The 17,967-nt window shown below is 48.5% G+C and overlaps 9 annotated features.

The window, feature by feature from the left end:
• Positions 309 to 398: an enhancer, noted in NCBI's record as "active region_26155". NCBI's record gives its function as "activates an Ori minimal core promoter by ATAC-STARR-seq in GM12878 lymphoblastoid cells {active_cell/tissue: GM12878}" and the evidence as "EXISTENCE:reporter gene assay evidence [ECO:0000049][PMID:35858748]".
• Positions 439 to 528: an enhancer, noted in NCBI's record as "active region_26154". NCBI's record gives its function as "activates an Ori minimal core promoter by ATAC-STARR-seq in GM12878 lymphoblastoid cells {active_cell/tissue: GM12878}" and the evidence as "EXISTENCE:reporter gene assay evidence [ECO:0000049][PMID:35858748]".
• Positions 1,139 to 1,188: an enhancer, noted in NCBI's record as "active region_26153". NCBI's record gives its function as "activates an Ori minimal core promoter by ATAC-STARR-seq in GM12878 lymphoblastoid cells {active_cell/tissue: GM12878}" and the evidence as "EXISTENCE:reporter gene assay evidence [ECO:0000049][PMID:35858748]".
• Positions 6,889 to 6,938: an enhancer, noted in NCBI's record as "active region_26152". NCBI's record gives its function as "activates an Ori minimal core promoter by ATAC-STARR-seq in GM12878 lymphoblastoid cells {active_cell/tissue: GM12878}" and the evidence as "EXISTENCE:reporter gene assay evidence [ECO:0000049][PMID:35858748]".
• Positions 9,599 to 10,098: an enhancer, noted in NCBI's record as "H3K4me1 hESC enhancer chr7:73677455-73677954 (GRCh37/hg19 assembly coordinates)". NCBI's record gives its function as "activates a minimal SCP1, AML or CMV promoter by ChIP-STARR-seq in primed H9 embryonic stem cells {active_cell/tissue: H9 hESC(primed)}" and the evidence as "EXISTENCE:reporter gene assay evidence [ECO:0000049][PMID:30033119]".
• Positions 10,099 to 10,600: an enhancer, noted in NCBI's record as "H3K4me1 hESC enhancer chr7:73676953-73677454 (GRCh37/hg19 assembly coordinates)". NCBI's record gives its function as "activates a minimal SCP1, AML or CMV promoter by ChIP-STARR-seq in primed H9 embryonic stem cells {active_cell/tissue: H9 hESC(primed)}" and the evidence as "EXISTENCE:reporter gene assay evidence [ECO:0000049][PMID:30033119]".
• Positions 14,984 to 15,043: an enhancer, noted in NCBI's record as "active region_26151". NCBI's record gives its function as "activates an Ori minimal core promoter by ATAC-STARR-seq in GM12878 lymphoblastoid cells {active_cell/tissue: GM12878}" and the evidence as "EXISTENCE:reporter gene assay evidence [ECO:0000049][PMID:35858748]".
• Positions 17,366 to 17,415: an enhancer, noted in NCBI's record as "active region_26150". NCBI's record gives its function as "activates an Ori minimal core promoter by ATAC-STARR-seq in GM12878 lymphoblastoid cells {active_cell/tissue: GM12878}" and the evidence as "EXISTENCE:reporter gene assay evidence [ECO:0000049][PMID:35858748]".
• Positions 17,446 to 17,535: an enhancer, noted in NCBI's record as "active region_26149". NCBI's record gives its function as "activates an Ori minimal core promoter by ATAC-STARR-seq in GM12878 lymphoblastoid cells {active_cell/tissue: GM12878}" and the evidence as "EXISTENCE:reporter gene assay evidence [ECO:0000049][PMID:35858748]".

Raw genomic sequence — 17,967 nt, 5'->3', positions numbered from 1 at the left:
CCTCAGCCTCCCGAGTAGCTGGGACTACAGTCGCCCGCCATGATGCCCGGCTAATTTTTTGTATTTTTAGTAGAGATGGGGTTTCACCGTGTTAGCCAGGATGGTCTCAATCTCCTGACTTCATGATCTGCCTGCCTCGGCCTCCCAAAGTGCTGGGATTACAGGCGTGAGCCACCACCCCCAGCCAGTCTCCTTTTTTTATAGGGCTCCTCTCACAGTGCCTGGCTCACTGGAAGTTTACAGTAGAGTACAGGGATTGTCACTCACACAGAGCGAGGATTGCCAGGGATTTGTTTGTACCAGAGGCTGGAGTAGAGTTTAGGAAACCACAGGGCATTCCTAGTGTCTAACCAGCCAGGGCCAGGCAGGCTTTCCATCCTTCCTTTGGTGCAAACGCCCTCGCAGTTGACTCATTCCCCAACCCTGAGGTCTGCGGCCCCCATCCCCCAGCCACACCACTTCCCCATTAGCATGGTGGCCCCTCTGGTCTCTGCCGTTCTAGCTTCCTGTCCATGCCTCCTGGTTCAGCCCAGATGTGGCCGTGGCCCATCCTCCACTCCCCTGGGAGGACAGATCTGGCTCAGGGCTGTCTGCAGTCTTGAATCCCTCTCCTCTCTCCTCTGAAGCCAGGGTAAAGCACACACCACACAGCCTGGCCCACAGCAGGACTGATTCTAGTACATTCCCAGATGGTCTATGTCAGCTGGGAATGCTTGACTTCCTGTTTTGTTTTCCGTCAGCAATCCTAAACCAGAACTTTCTTTCCCATAAGAATGATTTCTTCAGGTTGCTGACACGGTGACACCACTTTGAAAAGGAGGGAAGTTTGGAGCACTTTTTGTTTAGATCAGAATTTAAAATGATGCCAGGCAGGGTGGCTCACGCCTGTAATCCCAGGATTTAGGGAGGCCAAGACGGGTGGATCATTTGAGGTCAGGAGTTCGAGACGAGCCTGGCCAACATAGTGAAACCCCATCTCTACCGAAAATACAAAAATCAGCCGGATTTCGTGGTGGGCACCTGTAGTCCCAGCTACTCGGGAGGCTGAGGCAGGAGGATTACTTGAACCCGGGAGGCAGAGGTTGCAGTGAGCCGAGATCACACCACTGCACTCCAGCCTGGGTGACACAGTAAGACTCCCTCCCAATTTAGAAAAATAATTAAAATGAAAGCCTGTCCAGGAAGCAGTGGAGGTTAGAAGTCCTGGTCTGGCGGTTCAGATCCCTCCTGAGGCACTTCCTGGTTTGAGGCAAATCTCTTCCGGCTTCACTCCACTTTTCTCATCTATAAAAATAGGACTAAGTCAGGTGCAGCGGTGCGAGCCTCTAGTCCCAGCTACTGAGGAGGCTGAGGTGAGAGGATGGCTTGAGTCCAGGAGTTCAAGGCTGCAGTGAGCTGTGATCGTGCTACTGCAGTCCAGCCAGGGCAACAGAATGAGACTCTGTCTCTAAAATAAATAAATAGGCTGAGTGCAGTGGCTCATGCCTATAATCCCAGCACTTTGGGAGGCCAAGGCAGGAGGATCACGTAAGCCCAGAAGTTCGGGACCAGCCTGTGCAACATAGTGGCATTACAGGCATAAGCCACCATGCCCAGCCAATTTTTTAAAATATAGAAATTCACACCCACAGGCCAGGCGGCTCATGCCTGTCATCCCAGTACTTAGGGGGGCCAAGGCGGATGGATCTCTTGAGGTCAGGAGTTCGAGACCAGTCTGGCCAACATGGTGAAACCCCGTCTCTACTAAAAATACAAAAATTAGCCGTGTGGTGTTGCCCACCTGTAATCTCAGCTACTCAGGAGGCTGAGGCAGGAGAATTGCTTGAATTTGGGAGGCAGAGGTTGCAGTGAGCCGAGATTGCACCACTGCACTGCAGTCTGGGTGAAAAAGCGAGGCTCCATCTCAAATAAATAAATAAATAAATGAAATACTAAAATGAGGACATTGGACAAGGTTATCTCTAAACAGCACACTCTGGCTTAACTTTGACATTTCAGGATAAGTGAGTTTCTCAGGAAACAGACCTATAAATAAAGCTCAGTAGTTTCCTTTCAGGACCCCCAGATAGCAGTGTAGAAAATGCACTCCATCTTAACACAAAAAATAAAAAGTCAAAAAATTAGCCAGGCGTGGTGGTGCGTGCATGTAGTCCTAGATATTTGAGAGGCTGAGGTGGGAGGAGGGAGGATCTTTTGAGCCCAGGAGTTGGAGTCTCCAGTGAGCTAAGATCGCAACACTGCACTCCAGCCCGAGTGACAAAGGGAGACCCTGTCTCAAAAAAAAACAAAAAAAAAGGGCGGGGCGGGGTGGCGGCGGGCATGGTGGCTTGCCCCTATAATCCCAGCACTTTGGGAGGCCGAGGCGGGCGGATCATCTGAGGTCAGAAGTTCAAGACCAAGCTGGCCAACATGGTGAAACCCTGTCTCTACTAAAAATATTTTAAAATTTAGCTGGGTGTGGTGGTGAGCACCAGTAATCCCAGCTACTCCGGAGGCTGAGGCAGGAGAATCACCTGAACCCGGGAGAAGGAGGTTGCAGTGAACTGAGACCGCGCCATTGCACTCCAGCCTGGGCAACAGGAACGAAACTCCATCAAAAAAATAAAAGAGGGCCGGGCGTGGTGGCTCATGCCTGTAATCCCAGGACTTTGGGAGGCCGAGGCAGGCGGATCACAAGGTCAGGAGATCGAGACCATCCTGGCTAACACGATGAAACCCCGTCTCTACTAAAAATACAAAAAAAATCAGCCGGGGGTGGTGGCGGGCACCTGTAGTCCCAGCTACCCAGGAGGCTGAGGCAGGAGAATGGCGTGAACCCGGGAGGGAGAGGAGAGGAGGGGAGAGGAAGGAGGGGAGAGGAGGGAGGGGAGGGAGGGGAGGGTAAAGGAGGGAGGGAGGGGAGGGGAGGGGAGGGAGGGGAGGGGAGGGGAGGGAGAGGAGGGGAGGGAGAGGAGGGGAGGGAGAGGAGGGGAGGGGAGGGGAGAGGAGAGGAGAGGAGAAGGGAAAAGCAAAGTCTCCCTCCCAAATCACCTTGACCTGCCAATTAAAATTTCCTCCAAATACCACGCGGGAGGCGACAGCAACCGAAACATTAAACTGCCTCTGGTTCCACCAGCTGTCGGGGGTTTCTTTCCTTCTTGGCTCGGCCTAGAAACTCATATTTTATTCATGAAATTGAGGCCCTGGGAGGCCTGGGCATAAACAGGATGTAAATATTTGCGGGTGGTGGCGGGGGAAAGGTGGTATTTGGGCAGGGGCGGGCTAAAGTCGAGACACCCAGGACTATGATTACCTGGGGACCCGCCCACCTCCGTGCCTGTTATAGGCTGGGGTTGGGGCATAGACAGGCTGTGCCGCTGATGGGCGATGAGTCCGGGACTCCGGTGCCCTTGAAGTGAGTCAGGGGATATTGATTGCTTAACCTTCCCGGTGCATTCCATTTTCCCAATCATTGAGGTCCCTTATTTTTTTTTATTTTTTATTTTTTTAAGACAGAGTCTCACTCTGTCGCCCAGGCTGAAGTGCAGTGGCTCGATCTCGGCTCACTGCAACCTCTGCCTCCGGGGTTCAAGTGATTCTCCTGCCTCAGTCTCCGGAGTAGCTGGAACTACAGGCGCCCACCAGCACACCTGGCCGGCCGACTTGCCTGCTCGCCTGCCTTCCTTCCTTCCTTCCTTTCTTTCTTTTTCTTCCTTCCTTCCTTTCTTTTATTATTTTTATTTATTTATTTTTTTTGAGACAGGGTTTCGCTCTGTCAACCAGGCTGGAGTCCAGTGGCGTGATCTCGGCTCACTGCAACCTCCGCCTCCTGCGTTTAGGTGATTCTCCTGCCTGAGCCTCCCAAGTAGCTGGGATTACAGGCGCCCGCCACCATGCCCAGCTAATTTTTGTATTTTTAGTAGAGACGAGGTTTCCGCATGTTGGTCAGGCTGGTCTCAAACTCCTGGCCTCAGGTGATCCACCCGCCTCAGCCTCTCAAAGTGCAGGGATTACAGGTGTGAGCCACCGCGCCCAGCCTTGTTTCTTGATGCCACCGCGCCCAGCCTTGTTTCTTGATGGTATCTCGTCCCACCCTCTCACCCCACAGCCTGCGCAGTGCATCCCTGAACCTAGGATAGTCCCTGGAGTATAAATTGTTGTCTTGGTTGGAATCTCAAAGATTCAGAATTTTCCTTTTTTTTTTTTTGAACCGCTTGAACCTTGGAGGGGGAGGTTCAAGCGTTTCTCCTGCCTCAGCCTTCTAAGTAGCTGGGATTACAGGCACCCGCGACCATGCCCAGCTAATTTTTGTGTTTTTAGTGAGAGACGGGGTTTTCACCATGTTGGTCAGGCTGGTCTTGAACTCCTGTCCTTGTGATCCACCCACCTTGGCCTCCCAAAGTGCTGGGATTACAGGCATGAGCCACCGTGCCTGGCCTTTTTTTGTTTTGTTTTGTTTTGATTTTGAGAAGGGCCGTGCTGGATCACCCAGGCTGGAGTGCGGTGGTGCTATCAGAGCTCATTGCAACCTCGAACTCCTGGGCTCAAGCAATACCCCCCACCCCCTATCTCAGCCTCCCAAGTAGCTGGGACTGTGGGTGTATGCTGCCCAGCCTGGTTTAGGATTTTCAGAATGACACCCAGCATCCAACAGCCTCAGGTACGAGGAAAACATTTCTACCTGTGAGATACGACCTTCTTGGAATAGACACTCTCAGGGCTTCCCGAAGAATGTGGTGAGCGTGTCTGCACAGAAGCAGGCGTGCTAAAAACAGAGCATGGTTTAAAATGCCCACGGCACCTTCTACAGGTAATGAAACCCACACTTGGAGATTTCTGGGGTTAGGAACATAAAATACACCTCCCAAATTGGAGCACCAGCTGGCCAGATTAGACCGAGGTGCACCGCTGTATTTCCAGTGGATATGGTGTTGGAATGGTGGATACAACCTTGTTTTGAGAATAATGAGATTGCTGTTGAAAAGGAATGTCAAGCTACTTAGGTGAGGTGTCATCTTTTCTTATACGCAGTTAATCACTCCCTAACTGATCCTGCGTGGACATGTAGATGTTTGTTTTTTTTTCAGTATAGAACTTCTTAGCTTAAAGTGGGCTCGCTGTCAAAATATCTCATGTCACAGATAACCCATCAGGAAGAAGAAGAAAAAAACCCCGACCTGCTAAACAGCCTAAAAAGGGCATGCTGGGGCACTCAGGTTTCTGGTAGGAAAGTCCTCAATCCCCACTCACAGCCCGCTGACCCTGCATTTTTTTTTTTTTTTTTTTTTTAAAGATATGCTCTCATTCTGTTGCCCAGGCTCTGGAATGTAGTGGTGCAATTATGGCTTACTGCAGCCTTGACCTCCTGGGGTCAAGCAATCCTCCCACTTCAGCCTCCCAAGTCGCTGGGACCACAGGCACATGCTACCATGCTCAGCTAATTTTTGTTGTTGTTGTTAGAGATGGGGTCTTGTCATGTTGCCCAGGCTGGTCTTGAACTCCTGGGCTCCAACAATCCTCCTGCCTCAGCCTCCCAGGTAGCTGGGACTACAGGCACACACCACCACACCTAATTTTTTTTGTTTTAATACAGAGTCTCACTCTGTCACCAGACTAGAGCGCAGTGACATGATCTTGGCTCACTGCAACCTCTGCCTCCCAGGTTCAAGCAATTCTCGTGCCTCAGCCTGGCTAATTTTTGTATTTTAGTAGAAACGGGGTTTCGCCATGTTGGCCAGGCTGGTCTCAAACTCCTGACCTCAAGTGATCTGCCCACCTCAGCCTCCCAAAGTGCTGGGATTACGGGCATGAGCCACCACACCTGGCCTAATAATTTTTTTAAATTATTTTTTATAGAGACAGAGCCTTGCTATGTTGCCCAGGCTACTCTGGAACTCCTGGGCTCAAGTGGTCTTCCCACCTCAGCCTCCCAAAGAAACATTAAAAAAAAAAAAAAAAAAAACAGCCGGGCGTGGTGGTTCACCCCTGTAATCCCAGCACTTTAGGACGCCTAGGCAGGCAGATCACGCGGTCAGGAGTTCAAGACTAGCCTGGCCAACATGGTGAAACCCTGTCTCTACTAAAAATACAAAAAATTACCCCGGCCTGGTGGTGGTGTGCGCCTGTAATCCCAGCTACTCGGGAGGCTGAGGCAGGAGAATCGCTTGAACCCAGGAGGCGGAGGTTGCAGTGAGCCAAGATCGCACGCACCACTGCACTCCAGCCTGGGCAACAGAGCGAGACTCTGTCTTGAGGGAAACACACACACACACACACACACACAGACACACACACAGGATTCTATCAGGAGTCTATGCTGCTTTTTCTGGACTGTATTTTTTTAGGGGTCACAGAGACCTCTTTCCCTGTCAGTACAGGCAGACAGCCTTCATTTTTCAGTGACTGTATAGTATGAATGTACCATAATTTACCTATGCATTCTGACACTGATGGGCATTTATCTCATTTCCTTCCCCTCTTCCCCCATTCTAAGCTGCTGCAATGAACATCCTAGTACATATATATCTTTGTGCACATGTGTAAGCATTTATGTAAGACAAGTTTCTAAAAGCGGGCTTCTGGGTCAAAGAGTGTATACTTCTAAAGCATTGCTAGAAACTGACAAATTTAATGTACGATTTGTAGAGAAAAGAAAAATGGGCAGACAAGTCACAGAAGAGGAACTACAAAAGGTCGACACACATAGTAAAATGCTCTACAAGACAATGAAAATTGAAACAGGCTGGGCACGGTGGCTCACGCCTATAATCCAAGCACTTTGGGAGGCCGAGGCATGCGGATTGCTTGAGTCCAGGAGTTCAAGACCAGCCTGGGCAACATAGCAAGACCCTATCTCTACAAAAAATACAGGCATGGTGATGTGTGCCTGTGGACCTGGCTACTGGGGAGGCTGAGATGGGAGGATCCCCTGAGCCCAGGAGGTTGATGCTGAATTGAGCTGTGATTGCACCACTGCACTCCAGCAGGTGACAGAGTGAGACCCTGTCTCCAAAAAAAGCAAATTGAAATAGCACTCATATATATACACATGTAATATCTATTGCATGTAATACATTTATATATATACATGTAATATCTATTGCATGTAATATATTTATATGTATACATGTAATATGTATTACTGTGATATATTTACATGTATATATTTGCACAGGAGATTAGTAAACCAAAAAAAATGCATTCTTGGCTCTCATCCACCATTGGTGGAGGGATAAATGGGATAAAATGAACTGAGCTTGGTGCTCTCTAGTCCCCCACCCCTCATCAGATTTAGAAGGGGCCACAGGTGACCGGGCATGGTGGTTCATGCCTATAATCCCAGCACTGTGGGAGGCCAAGGCAGGCGGATCACTTGAGGTCAGGAGTTCGAGACCAGCCTGGCCAACATGGTGAAACCCCATTTCTACTAAAAATACAAAAATTAGGTGGTGTGCGGTGGCTCACGCCTGTAATCCCAGCACTTTGGGAGGCCGAGGCGGACAGATCACGAGGTCAGGAGATCGAGACCATCCTGGCCAACATGGGGAAACCCCGTCTCTACTAAAAGTACAAAAATTAGCTGGGCGTGGTGCCACGTGCCTGTAATCCCTACTCGGGAGGCTGAGGCAGGAGAATCACTTGAACCAGGGAGTCAAAGGTTGCAGTGAGCCGAGATCGCGCCATTGCACTCTAGCCTGGCGACAGAGCAAGACTCCGTCTCAAAAAAAAAAAAAAAATTAGCTGGGCATGGTGGCAGGCGCCTGTAATCCCAGCTACTCAGGAGGCTGTGGCAGGAAAATCGCTTGAACCCGGGAGGCAGTGGTTTCAGTGAGCCGATATTGGACCACTGCACCCCAGGCTGGGTAAGAGAGCGAGACTCTGTCTCAAAAAAAAAAAAAAAAAAAAGTGGTTGCAGGAAGGTCAGGGCTGATGTGCTCACTGAGGACAGGAAGGAGGGAATGCTTAGATGAGTAAACAGACTAAAATTAGAAGTAAAGAATCCAAACAGCCTATGACCTAGGCCGTATAGTGTGGGGGGAGCAGCCTGTCTCCCATCCATCGTCTCTGGGGTCAGCCCACATCATGATGCATAAACATTTGACCTCTATACCATCAGGAAAAGTCCTGTACCCTTTTCGTTTTCAAAGAAGGCAAGAGACCAGGCCAGTGGCTCACGCCTGTAATTCCAACACTTTGGGAGGCCAAAGCAGGAGGATCGCTTGAACCCAGGAGTTTGAGATCAGCCTGGGCAATATAGGGAGACCTTATTGCTACAAAAAAAAAAAAAAAAAATAGCTGGGCGTGGTGGCGTGTGCCTGTAGTCCCAGGTATTAGGGAGTCTGAGGTGGGAGGATCTGCATGAGCCCAGGAAGTCGAGGCTGCAGTGAGCCGTGATTGCACCACTGCACTCCGGCTTGGGCAACAGAACTAGACCCTGTCTCCAAAAAAAGATGGCAAGGAAGTGCGTAAAGCAATTTTCAAAGTTTCCAAATTGTTAAAGTTGAACAAAATAGTTAACATGAAAAACTTTGCATACAGTGGGCGCTTAACCGGAACATGTATTTATGTAGAGTAGTTTCTGGGAGAGTTTTTAAAGTACTACTCTTTAGGATTTGCTTAAAACGTAGGACAGGAGCTTTTGAAATCATGAGCCTTATCCACTTTAAAACACCACCTTGTGAGAAAGATGTCTTTTAAAAGGTGTATCTTGGCTGGGTGCAATGTCTCATGCCTGTAATCCCAGCACTTTGGGAGGCTGAGGTGGGTAGATCACTTGAGGTCAGGAGTTCGAGACCAGCCTGGCCAACATGGTGAAACCTCGTCTCTACTAAAAATACAAAAATTAGCTGGGCATGGTGGCGGGTGCCTATAATCCCAGCTACTTGGGAGGCTGAGGCAGGAGGATCACATGAACCTGGGAGGCGGAGGTTGCAGCAAGCTGAGATGGCGCCACTGCACTTCAGCCTGGATGACAGAGCAAGACTCTGTCTCAATAAATAAATAAAATAAAATAAAATAAAATAAAATAAAATAAAATAAAATAAATTTAAAAATATATAAAAGATGCATCTTAAAAGTCCTGGGTAGACATCTTCTCCTGCCCCTAAAAATGGAGCTGTCCAGGGTGATAAGGGGTTGTGAGGGGTGTAAAAATGTAAAAGACATGTCCTCTTTGGACACGTTTGCTCAGGGACACCAGATTTGAACGTGAGCTTGCTTCCTTTGAAGGCCCAGCTCAAAGGTCATACCTCGGGGTGCCCGGGCCCTGCAGACACGGTGACTTTTCCCTCCCAGTGCCCTCTAGCTCCTACCCAGCAGAGGGGCGTGGACACCCGTGTGCCTGCCAGGACGCTCAGACCGGGCACTTTTCGTCTAACTCATTTTTGCATCTCCCACTATGGTGAACCCAGAACTGTCCTCCCGTGGGCCAGTCCTTTGCAGATTGGCTGTGTCTGAGTCCCATCCCAGCTCTATAGCCAGGGCTGTCCTTGTCAAATTGCTGCCTTCTCTTGGATGCTTGCGGAGAGAGCCTGATCAGAGGTCACCCTGTGACCTAGTTAAGTGTAGCACGGGAGAAAGCCTGTACACACTCAGCAACACGCACCAGATGCAGAGAGAGATTCAGGCAGAGATGGAGACAGGCATGGAGGGAGGATCTTTCGGGTGGTGGACGTGCCTTCTTTGCGGATACAGTGGCCTTAACCCCAGCCCACCAAGGCGCCCAGGAAGCTCTTGGCGAGGCCAAGATGACTTCAGAGAGGTGGACGGGAGAGTGGCTGGTTGGACATAGTGAGGAGCACGGGCTCTGGGTTAGACCATCCAGGATCTGCTTCCTACCCACCAAGTCACTCTGGGTACCACGTGCCTCAATTTCCACACCTGTAATGGAATAATAACAACCTCCAGTGGGGATTGCAAGGAGTCAATGTCAACCCCTTCTACCCAGGACAAGTGATAGTCACTAAGCCTCAGCGGGGCCTGAAGACTGTCACCAGCTGCAGACTCATTAAGGGGACACCAGGGACAGCTGGCAGAGAGGCAGCTGCCCGACGTGGGGAGCCGGGAGGCGGAGATCCAGGCTGACTCAGTGCAGCACTGGCCACCCGGCCTTACAGCATTTCCGTAGTTAGCTCTCAGTTTTCTCATTGGTAATAACAGTATTGGAGTATTTGAATAGCCTTTGAACAGAATTACCTCCTGTGTGCGGCTGGCAGGGGTGTGCCCTACGACAACCCTTCGGAATACAATGTGGCAACTCCCCCAGGAATGTGGGGTTTCTGGTGTGCTCTAGGATGACTTCTGTGCACTGAAAACTTTATTCAAAAAATGACTTAAGGGCCGGGTGCCGTGGCTGACGCCTGTAATCCCGGCACTTTGGGAGGCCAAGGCGGACGGATCACCTGAGGTCAGGAGTTCAAGAGCAGCGTGACTAACATGGTGAAACCCCATCTCTACTAAAAACACAAAATTAGCCAGGTGTGTTGGCGCATGCCTGTAATCCTAGTTACTTGGGAGGCTGAGGCAGGAGAATCACTTGAACCTGGGGAGGCAGAGGTTGCAGTGAGCCAAGAGCACGCCACTGCACTCCAGCCTGGGCAACAAGAGCGAGACTTCGTCTCAAAAAAAAATTACTTAAGTTTTTGTTTAACTCATGAAAGTTACAAATTTAAAAAACATTTGCCAGGCGCAGTGGCTCATGCCTGTAATCCCAGCACTTTGGGAGGCCGAGGCGGGCGGATCACAAGGTCAGGAGTTCAAGACCAGTCTGGCCAATATGGTGAAACCCCATCTCTACTAAAAATACAAAAATTAGCCCGGTGTGGTGGTGGGCACCTGTAGTCCCAGCTACTCAGGAGGCTGACGCAGGAGAATCCCTTGAACCCAGGAGGCAGAGTTGCAGTGAGCCGAGATCGCACCACTGCACTCCAGCTTGGGTGACAGAGCGAGACTCCGTCTCAAAAAAACAAAACAAAACCTTTTTGGGTACAATATAATTAAGTTCTTTTTTTTTTTTTTTTTTTTTAGAGACAGGGTCTTCTTGCTCTTTCTCTAGGCTGGAGTGCAGTGGTGCGATCATAGCTCACAGATGCCTCTAACTCCTGGACTCAAGTGATCCTCTCACCTCAGCCTCCCCGAGAAGACATACATCACCACACCCAGATAATTAAAAAAAATTTTTTTTGTAGACGTGGGATCTCACTTCATTGCCCAGGCTGGTCTCAAAACTCCTAGTGATTAAGTTCTTTTAAACATTTTCAACTACTTTTACAAATTAAATATATTTGATTGATTTCCTTTTCGAGTATCTTGGTTATCTGACAAATCTTCCAAGTACTCAAATGTATCTTTTTTTTTTTTTTTTGAGATAGAGTTTCACTTTGTCGCCTAGGCTGGAGTGCAGTGGCGCAATCCTGGCTCACTGCAACCTCTGCATCCAGGTTCAAACGATTCTCCTGCCTCAGCCTCCTGAGTAGCTGGGACTACAGGTGTGCGCCACCACACCTGGCTAATATTTTTATATTTTTATTAGAGATGGGGTTTCGCCCTGTTGGCCAGGCTAGTCTCGAACTCTGACCTCAAGTGATCCGCCCACCTCAGCCTCCCAAAGTGCTGGGATTACAGGCGTGAACTACTGCACCCAGTTCAAATATATCTAATAAATCTAATAAACTAAGCTTGTAGTATTTTATTTTTTATTTTTGAGACAGGGTCTTGCTCTGTTGCCTGGGCTGGAGTGCAGTGGTGCAATCACTGTTGACTGTAGCCTTGACCTCCTGGGCTCAATTAGTCCTCCCATCTCAGCTTCCCAAGCAGCTAGGACTATAGGCACACGCCACTACACCTGGCTAAAAAACTTATAATATGTTGAACCTCAAGTTATCTTAAATATCCTAATAATATTTATACAGCTAGTGAGATTTCAATCTAAAATCACAAGTTTAACTTAATTGATTCAACTTTACATTTTAAATTAGAATCATAAATTTCCCGTTGGACACTAATATGAGAAGTTGTCATAAGGATTTCAAATCCGTAATATATCAAATCTATAAAGATTATGTATGAATGCTACATAAAAAGACTAATATAAAATTTTAATTTATCTCATCACGTCTGTATTTCTGAAACCCCCTAGGATCATTCATTCATTCAACAATTTTTTAAATTTAATTAATTAATTTATTTATTTGAGACGGAGTCTCACTCTGTCACCAGGCTGGATGCAATGGCACAATCTTGGCTTACTGCAACCTCCACCTCCCAGGTTCAAGCGATTCTCCTGCCTCAGCCTCCCGAGTAGCTGGGACTACAGGCACATGCCACCACACCCAGGTGATTTTTTGCATTTTAAGTAGAGACGGGGTTTCACCATGTTGGCCAGGATGGTCTCCATCTCTTGACCTCATGATCCACCTGCCTTGGCCTCTCAAAGTGCTGGGATTACAGGCATGAGCCACCGAGTCCGGCCTGAATTGTTCTATAATTTAATAATTAAATCCAAAAATTAGCTGAGCATGGTGGTGGGCACCTGTAATCCCAGCTGCTCAGGAGGCCAAGGCAGGAGAATTGTTTGAACCTCGGAGGCGGAGGTTGCAGTGAGTTGAGATCGCACCACGGCACTCCAGCCTGGGTGATAGAGCAAGACTCCGTCTCAGAAAATAAAAAACAAAAGCCAGGCGCCGTGGCTCACGCCTGTAATCCCAGCACTTTGGGAGGCTGAGACGGGCGGATCATGAGGTCAGGAGATCGAGACCATCCTGGCTAACATGGTGAAACCCTGTCTCTACTAAAAATACAAAAAAATTAGCTGGGCGTACTGGCGGGCGCCTGTAGTCCCAGCTACTCGGGAGGCTGAGGCAGGAGAATGGCATGAACCCGGGAGGCAGAGCTTGCAGTGAGCCGAGATAGCACCACTGCACTCCAGCCTGGGCAACAGAGCGAGCCTCCGTCTCAAAATAAATAAATAAATAAATAAAAAATAAAAAGAATTAGAGATTAAAAGATCAGAAAGCAAAGCCCAATACTTCCACACATATTTCTTCCACACCCCGCCTTTGGCAACCAGAATGATCTAAAACCCAAACTGCATCATGTCACTTTGCCCCACCTCCTCCAGCGCTTCTCACCACTCCTAATTAGCCTTCACCCTGCACGATCTGGCCCCTGCAGGCTCCATCTCTCTCCCACCCCCACTCCCACCCGTCCCAGGCTGATCATCTCTCTCCCGCCCCCACTCCCACCCCTCCGAGGCTGATCAGACCACCGTGTGCCCCAGCTCTGCTGTCACTCATCCCTTCGTGCCTTCAGGAAATGTGGGGCCTCTCTCTGGGCCACTACAGGCAATGAGGATACAATGGGAACAGGACAGAGAAAGTTCCTTTTCTCAAAGAATTTTCATTTTAGTGGGGAAACAAACAGTAAACAAGGCAACAAATCCAGCTAAATATAGATTGTGGGTAAGAAAAATAATAAACAAACAGGGGCTGGGCTCAGTGGCTCACACCTGTAATCCCAGCACTTTGGGAGGCTGAGGCAGGAGGATCGCTGGAGCCCAGGAGTTGAAGACCAGCTTGGGCAACAAGGTGAGACCACGTCTCTACAAAAAATTAACAGATTGGCCAGGCATGGTGGCATGTGCCTATGGTCCCAGCTACTCAGGAGGCTGAGGTGGGAGGATCACTTGAGCCCAGGAGGTCAAGGCTGCAGTGAGCTATGATCACGCCACTGCACTCCAGCCTGGGCAATACAAAAAGACCAACTCAAAAAAAAAAAAAAAAAAGAGAGAGAGAGAGAGAAAGAAAGAAATAAACATGGTGTTAGTGTAGGGAGCAATGGGAGGCAGAACAGGATATTAGGTGGTCCTTCCAGGCAAAGCCAATAGGCGTTCAAATCTCAGATTGGGGGTTCACATCTCTGGCCAAATGCCCCTTCCCATCAAAGCCCTTCCTGACCTCCCAAGTGAGGTGTTAGCCTATTGCTGATATCCTAACAACCCACCAATCCCTTTTCTGACACTGATCATAATTTTTTTTTATTTATTTTATTTTATTTGTGAGACGGAGTTTTGTTCTCGTCGCCCAGGCTGGAGTGCAGTGGCACAATCTCAGCTCACTGCAACCTCTGCCTCCCGGGTTCAAACAATTCTCCTGCCTCAGCCTCCCAAGTAGCTGGGATTACAGGTATGCGCCACCACGCCCTGCTAATTTGGTGTTTGCAATAGAGATGGGGTTTCTCCATGTTGGTTGGGCTGGTCTCGAACTCCCGACCTCAGGTGATCTGGCCGCCTCAGCCTCCCAAAGTGCTGAGATTACAGGCGTGAGCCACTGCACCCGACCCATAATTACATTGAAATAAACATAACATTGGCCGCTTGCTGTCAGTTTCCCTCCCTACAATGGAAGCTCCTGTGCCCCTCCCAGCCGCTCTAGGCACTCAGTCAATATTTGTTAAAGGCAGAAAACGTGCTGCTTACATGATTTCCAACCAGCTTCTGAATTCCATAAATCTAATCAGAGCAATACCCGGGGACAAATTTTACCCAGATGAGACACCCTTATACTGTAGATATATCTAGGAAATGTTTTTTCTGTACACACTGTGCCTCTCAATATTGAAAATGCTACAAAGTGCTCGCTTCGGCAGTGCACAGACTAAAACTGGAACGACACAGAGAAGATGAGCAGGGCACCTAATTTTAAAAATGCTAACGAAAATGTTAGAAAAACCATAAATGGGGCTGGGCGCAGTGGCTCACGCCTGTAATCCCAGCACTTTGGGAGGCCGAGGCGGGTGGATCACAAGGTCAGGAGATCGAGACCATCCTGTCTAACATGGTGAAACCCCATCTCTACTAAAAATACAAAAAAAAAAAAAAAAAAAAATTAGCCAGTCGTGGTGGCAGGCGCCTGTAGTCCCAACTACTCGGAAGGCTGAGGCATGAGAATGGCATGAACCCGGGAGGTGGAGCTTGCAGTGAGCCGAGATCGCACCACTGCACTCCACGCTGGGTGACAGAGCAAGACTCCGTCTCAAAAAAAAGAAAAAAGAAAAACTATAAATGGGATGGAAGACCGCAGTGCCTGAAACACTTATTTAAATGATAGCATCACCATTTAAAAACAAAAATTAGTCAGGTGCGATGGCTCCCACCTGTAATCCCAGCACTATGGGAGGCAGAGGTAGGTGGATCACTTGAGCCCAGGAGTTCGAGACCAGCCTGGCCAACATGGTGAAACCCTGTCTCTACTAAAAATACAAAAATTAGCCGGGCATGGTGGCATGCACCTGTAATCCCAGCTACTCTGGAGGCTGAGACAGGAAAATCTATTCAACCTAGGAGGCAGAAGTTGCAGTGAGCCGATATCATGCCACTGTGCTCCAGCCTGGGTGACGGAGTGAGACCCCATCTCAAAAAATAAATAAAGGCTGGGCATGGTGGCTCACGCCTGTAATCCCAGCACTTTGGGAGGCTGAGGTGGGCGGATCACCTGAGGTCGGGAGTTTGAGACCAGCCTGACCAACATGGTGAAACACCGTCTCTACTAAAAATACAAAATTAGCTGGGTGTGGTGGCACATGCCTGTAATCCCAGCTACATGGGAGGATGAGCCAGAAGAATTGCTTGAGCCCGGGATGCGGAAGTTGCAGTGAGCCGAGATCATGCCATTGTACTCCAGCCTGGGTAACAAGATCGAAACTCCATCTCAAAATAAAAAAAAAATAAAAACAAAAACAAAAAATAGCTTAAAATCACAAAGAAATCCACTTGAAAACAAATAATAAATTTTCTTTTTTTTTTTTTGAGATGGAGTTTCGCTCTTGTTGCCCAGCTAATTTTTGTATTTTTACTACAGATGGGGTTTCACCATGCTGGCCAGGCTGGTCTTGAACTCCTGACCTCGTGATCGGCCCTCCTCGGCCTCCCACAGTGCTGGGATTACAGGCGTGAGCCACCGACCTGGCCTAAATTTTCTTTTTTTTATAGAGATAGGAGTCTTGCTACATTGCCCAGGTTGGGCTCAAACGCCTGGTCTCAAGCGATCCTCCCGCCTGGGCCTCCCAAAGTGCTGAGATTACTGGCATGAGCCACCAGGCCCAGACTAAGATAATGAACTTTTAAAATTCAATGTAAACAAGGCAAACAGCATCAAGTGTGCATGACATTCTGGGCCAATGGAGGCTGGAGTGGGCAGAGAGAAAACCAGGCTATCCTGTAGTCCTGATCTTGGCACGCCAGCAGATTTTCAGCCTTACATCCTGCAACATAACTCAGGAAGTAAGCTAACGGTGAAAGTCAAGGTGTCATTCAAACTAAGATGTGTTGCCTGACTTCTCTGACAATTTGATTGGAAGCCTCTGGATTTGGGGAAAGAGGATTTTGGTTTCAATTTTATTTCCTTTCTACATGCTTCCTCTTGGTGTATAACTGCCTTGCCCTCTTGTGATGACAGTCTGGGAGCTTAGCCTCAGTGTGTATTTAATTTCCTGAGATTTGAAGGATTTGCTGGGAGGAATTCTCCGTGGCTACTCTATGCCCTTTCACAAGAGCCTGTGGTTTCCCCAGCACTCCCTGGTTCCCCAACATTGCTGTTTTTCAGTCCCAGGGGAGCGGCTGGAGTTTTTAAGTTCTGAGCTCTGTTTGGGCCCAAGTCCAATAGGTCACAAAAGGCTCAGTCTAAAAAAAAGAAATGTCCTGACAGTGCAGCTTTGCCCTAAGAGTCACCTCCATCTCTGGTTCTCCTGGCATTCCATCAGTTAGAGGAGAGCCCTAGCAGCGCCAAAAGGCCTCCTGTAGAGTGGGGGTTTTTGGAGAATTATGAAAGGAACCGTGTTCTGTACTTATTAAAAATTAGTTTCTAAACTGTGTTATGTGATGGGAGGGATGTGTGTCATAGTGATTACAAGGAAAACATGAAGATTACAAAGGAACAATCCTATGGAAAAACCGCGGAGACATTTCAAGAAAAGTGTATATTTCAAGAGGAGTGTGTATTTTCTCCTCCGGAAAAATAAAAGACCTGTGAATAATGATTGAAAAAACAGACAAGACCGCTCCATCAGTTTAAAGGGGGAATAGGGGAGAGATGGCCAATTCAAACATTTTTTCCAAATTACATGGAAAGAAAAACACTGTGTTAAGTTGTGAATCTGTATACGTTAATACTATCGTTAAAACCAACTGCTTGGCCAGACGCGGTGGCTCACACCTGTAATCCCAGCACTTTGGGAGGCTGAGGCAAGCGGATCACTTGAAGTCAGGAGTTTGAGACCAGCCTGGTCAACGTGGCGAAACCCCATCTCTACTGAAAATACAAGTATTAGCCAGGTGTGGTGGCACACGCTTGTAGTCCCAGCTACTCGGGAGGTTGAGGCAGGAGAATCACTTGAACCTGGGAGCCTGACATTGCAGTGAGCTGAGATCACACCACTGTACTCCAGTCTGGGTGACAGAGTGAGACTCCATCTCAAAAACAAAAAACAAGAAACAAAACAAAGAATGGTCAAAGCACTTGTGAATCTGAAGTACCTACTTTCTTTTCTTCTTATTTTTTTAGAAACAGGATTTCACTCTGTCCCCCGGGGCTGGAGTACATTGACTTGATCATGGTTCACTGTGGCTTCAACCTCATGGGCTCAACCGATTCTCCTGCCTCAGCCTCCCGAGTAACTGGGACTACTGTCGCGTACCACCACAACTGGATAATTTAAAAAATTTTTTTTGTAGAGATGGGGTCTCACCATGTTGCCCAGGCTGGTCTCAAACTCCTCGGCTTGAGGGATCCTCCCACCTTAGCCTCCCAAAGTTCTGGGATCATCATTATTGAATATTATGACAATTTGGGCTATGGGAGGAAAGATTGGGTAGAAAAACAGCCCATAAGAATGCTCAAAACCCTTGCAAGGTTGAAGTATTTACTTTTTCTTTTTTGAGACAGGGTCTTGCTGCAGACCAGGTTGGAGTGCAGTGGTGTGATCAGAGATCACTGC

Source organism: Homo sapiens, chromosome 7 (genome assembly GCF_000001405.40).
Source record: "Homo sapiens chromosome 7, GRCh38.p14 Primary Assembly".
Taxonomy (NCBI): Eukaryota; Metazoa; Chordata; class Mammalia; order Primates; family Hominidae; genus Homo; species Homo sapiens.
The sequence above is the reverse complement of the archived record's forward strand: the minus strand, read 5'-3'. Positions and strand labels throughout refer to the sequence as shown.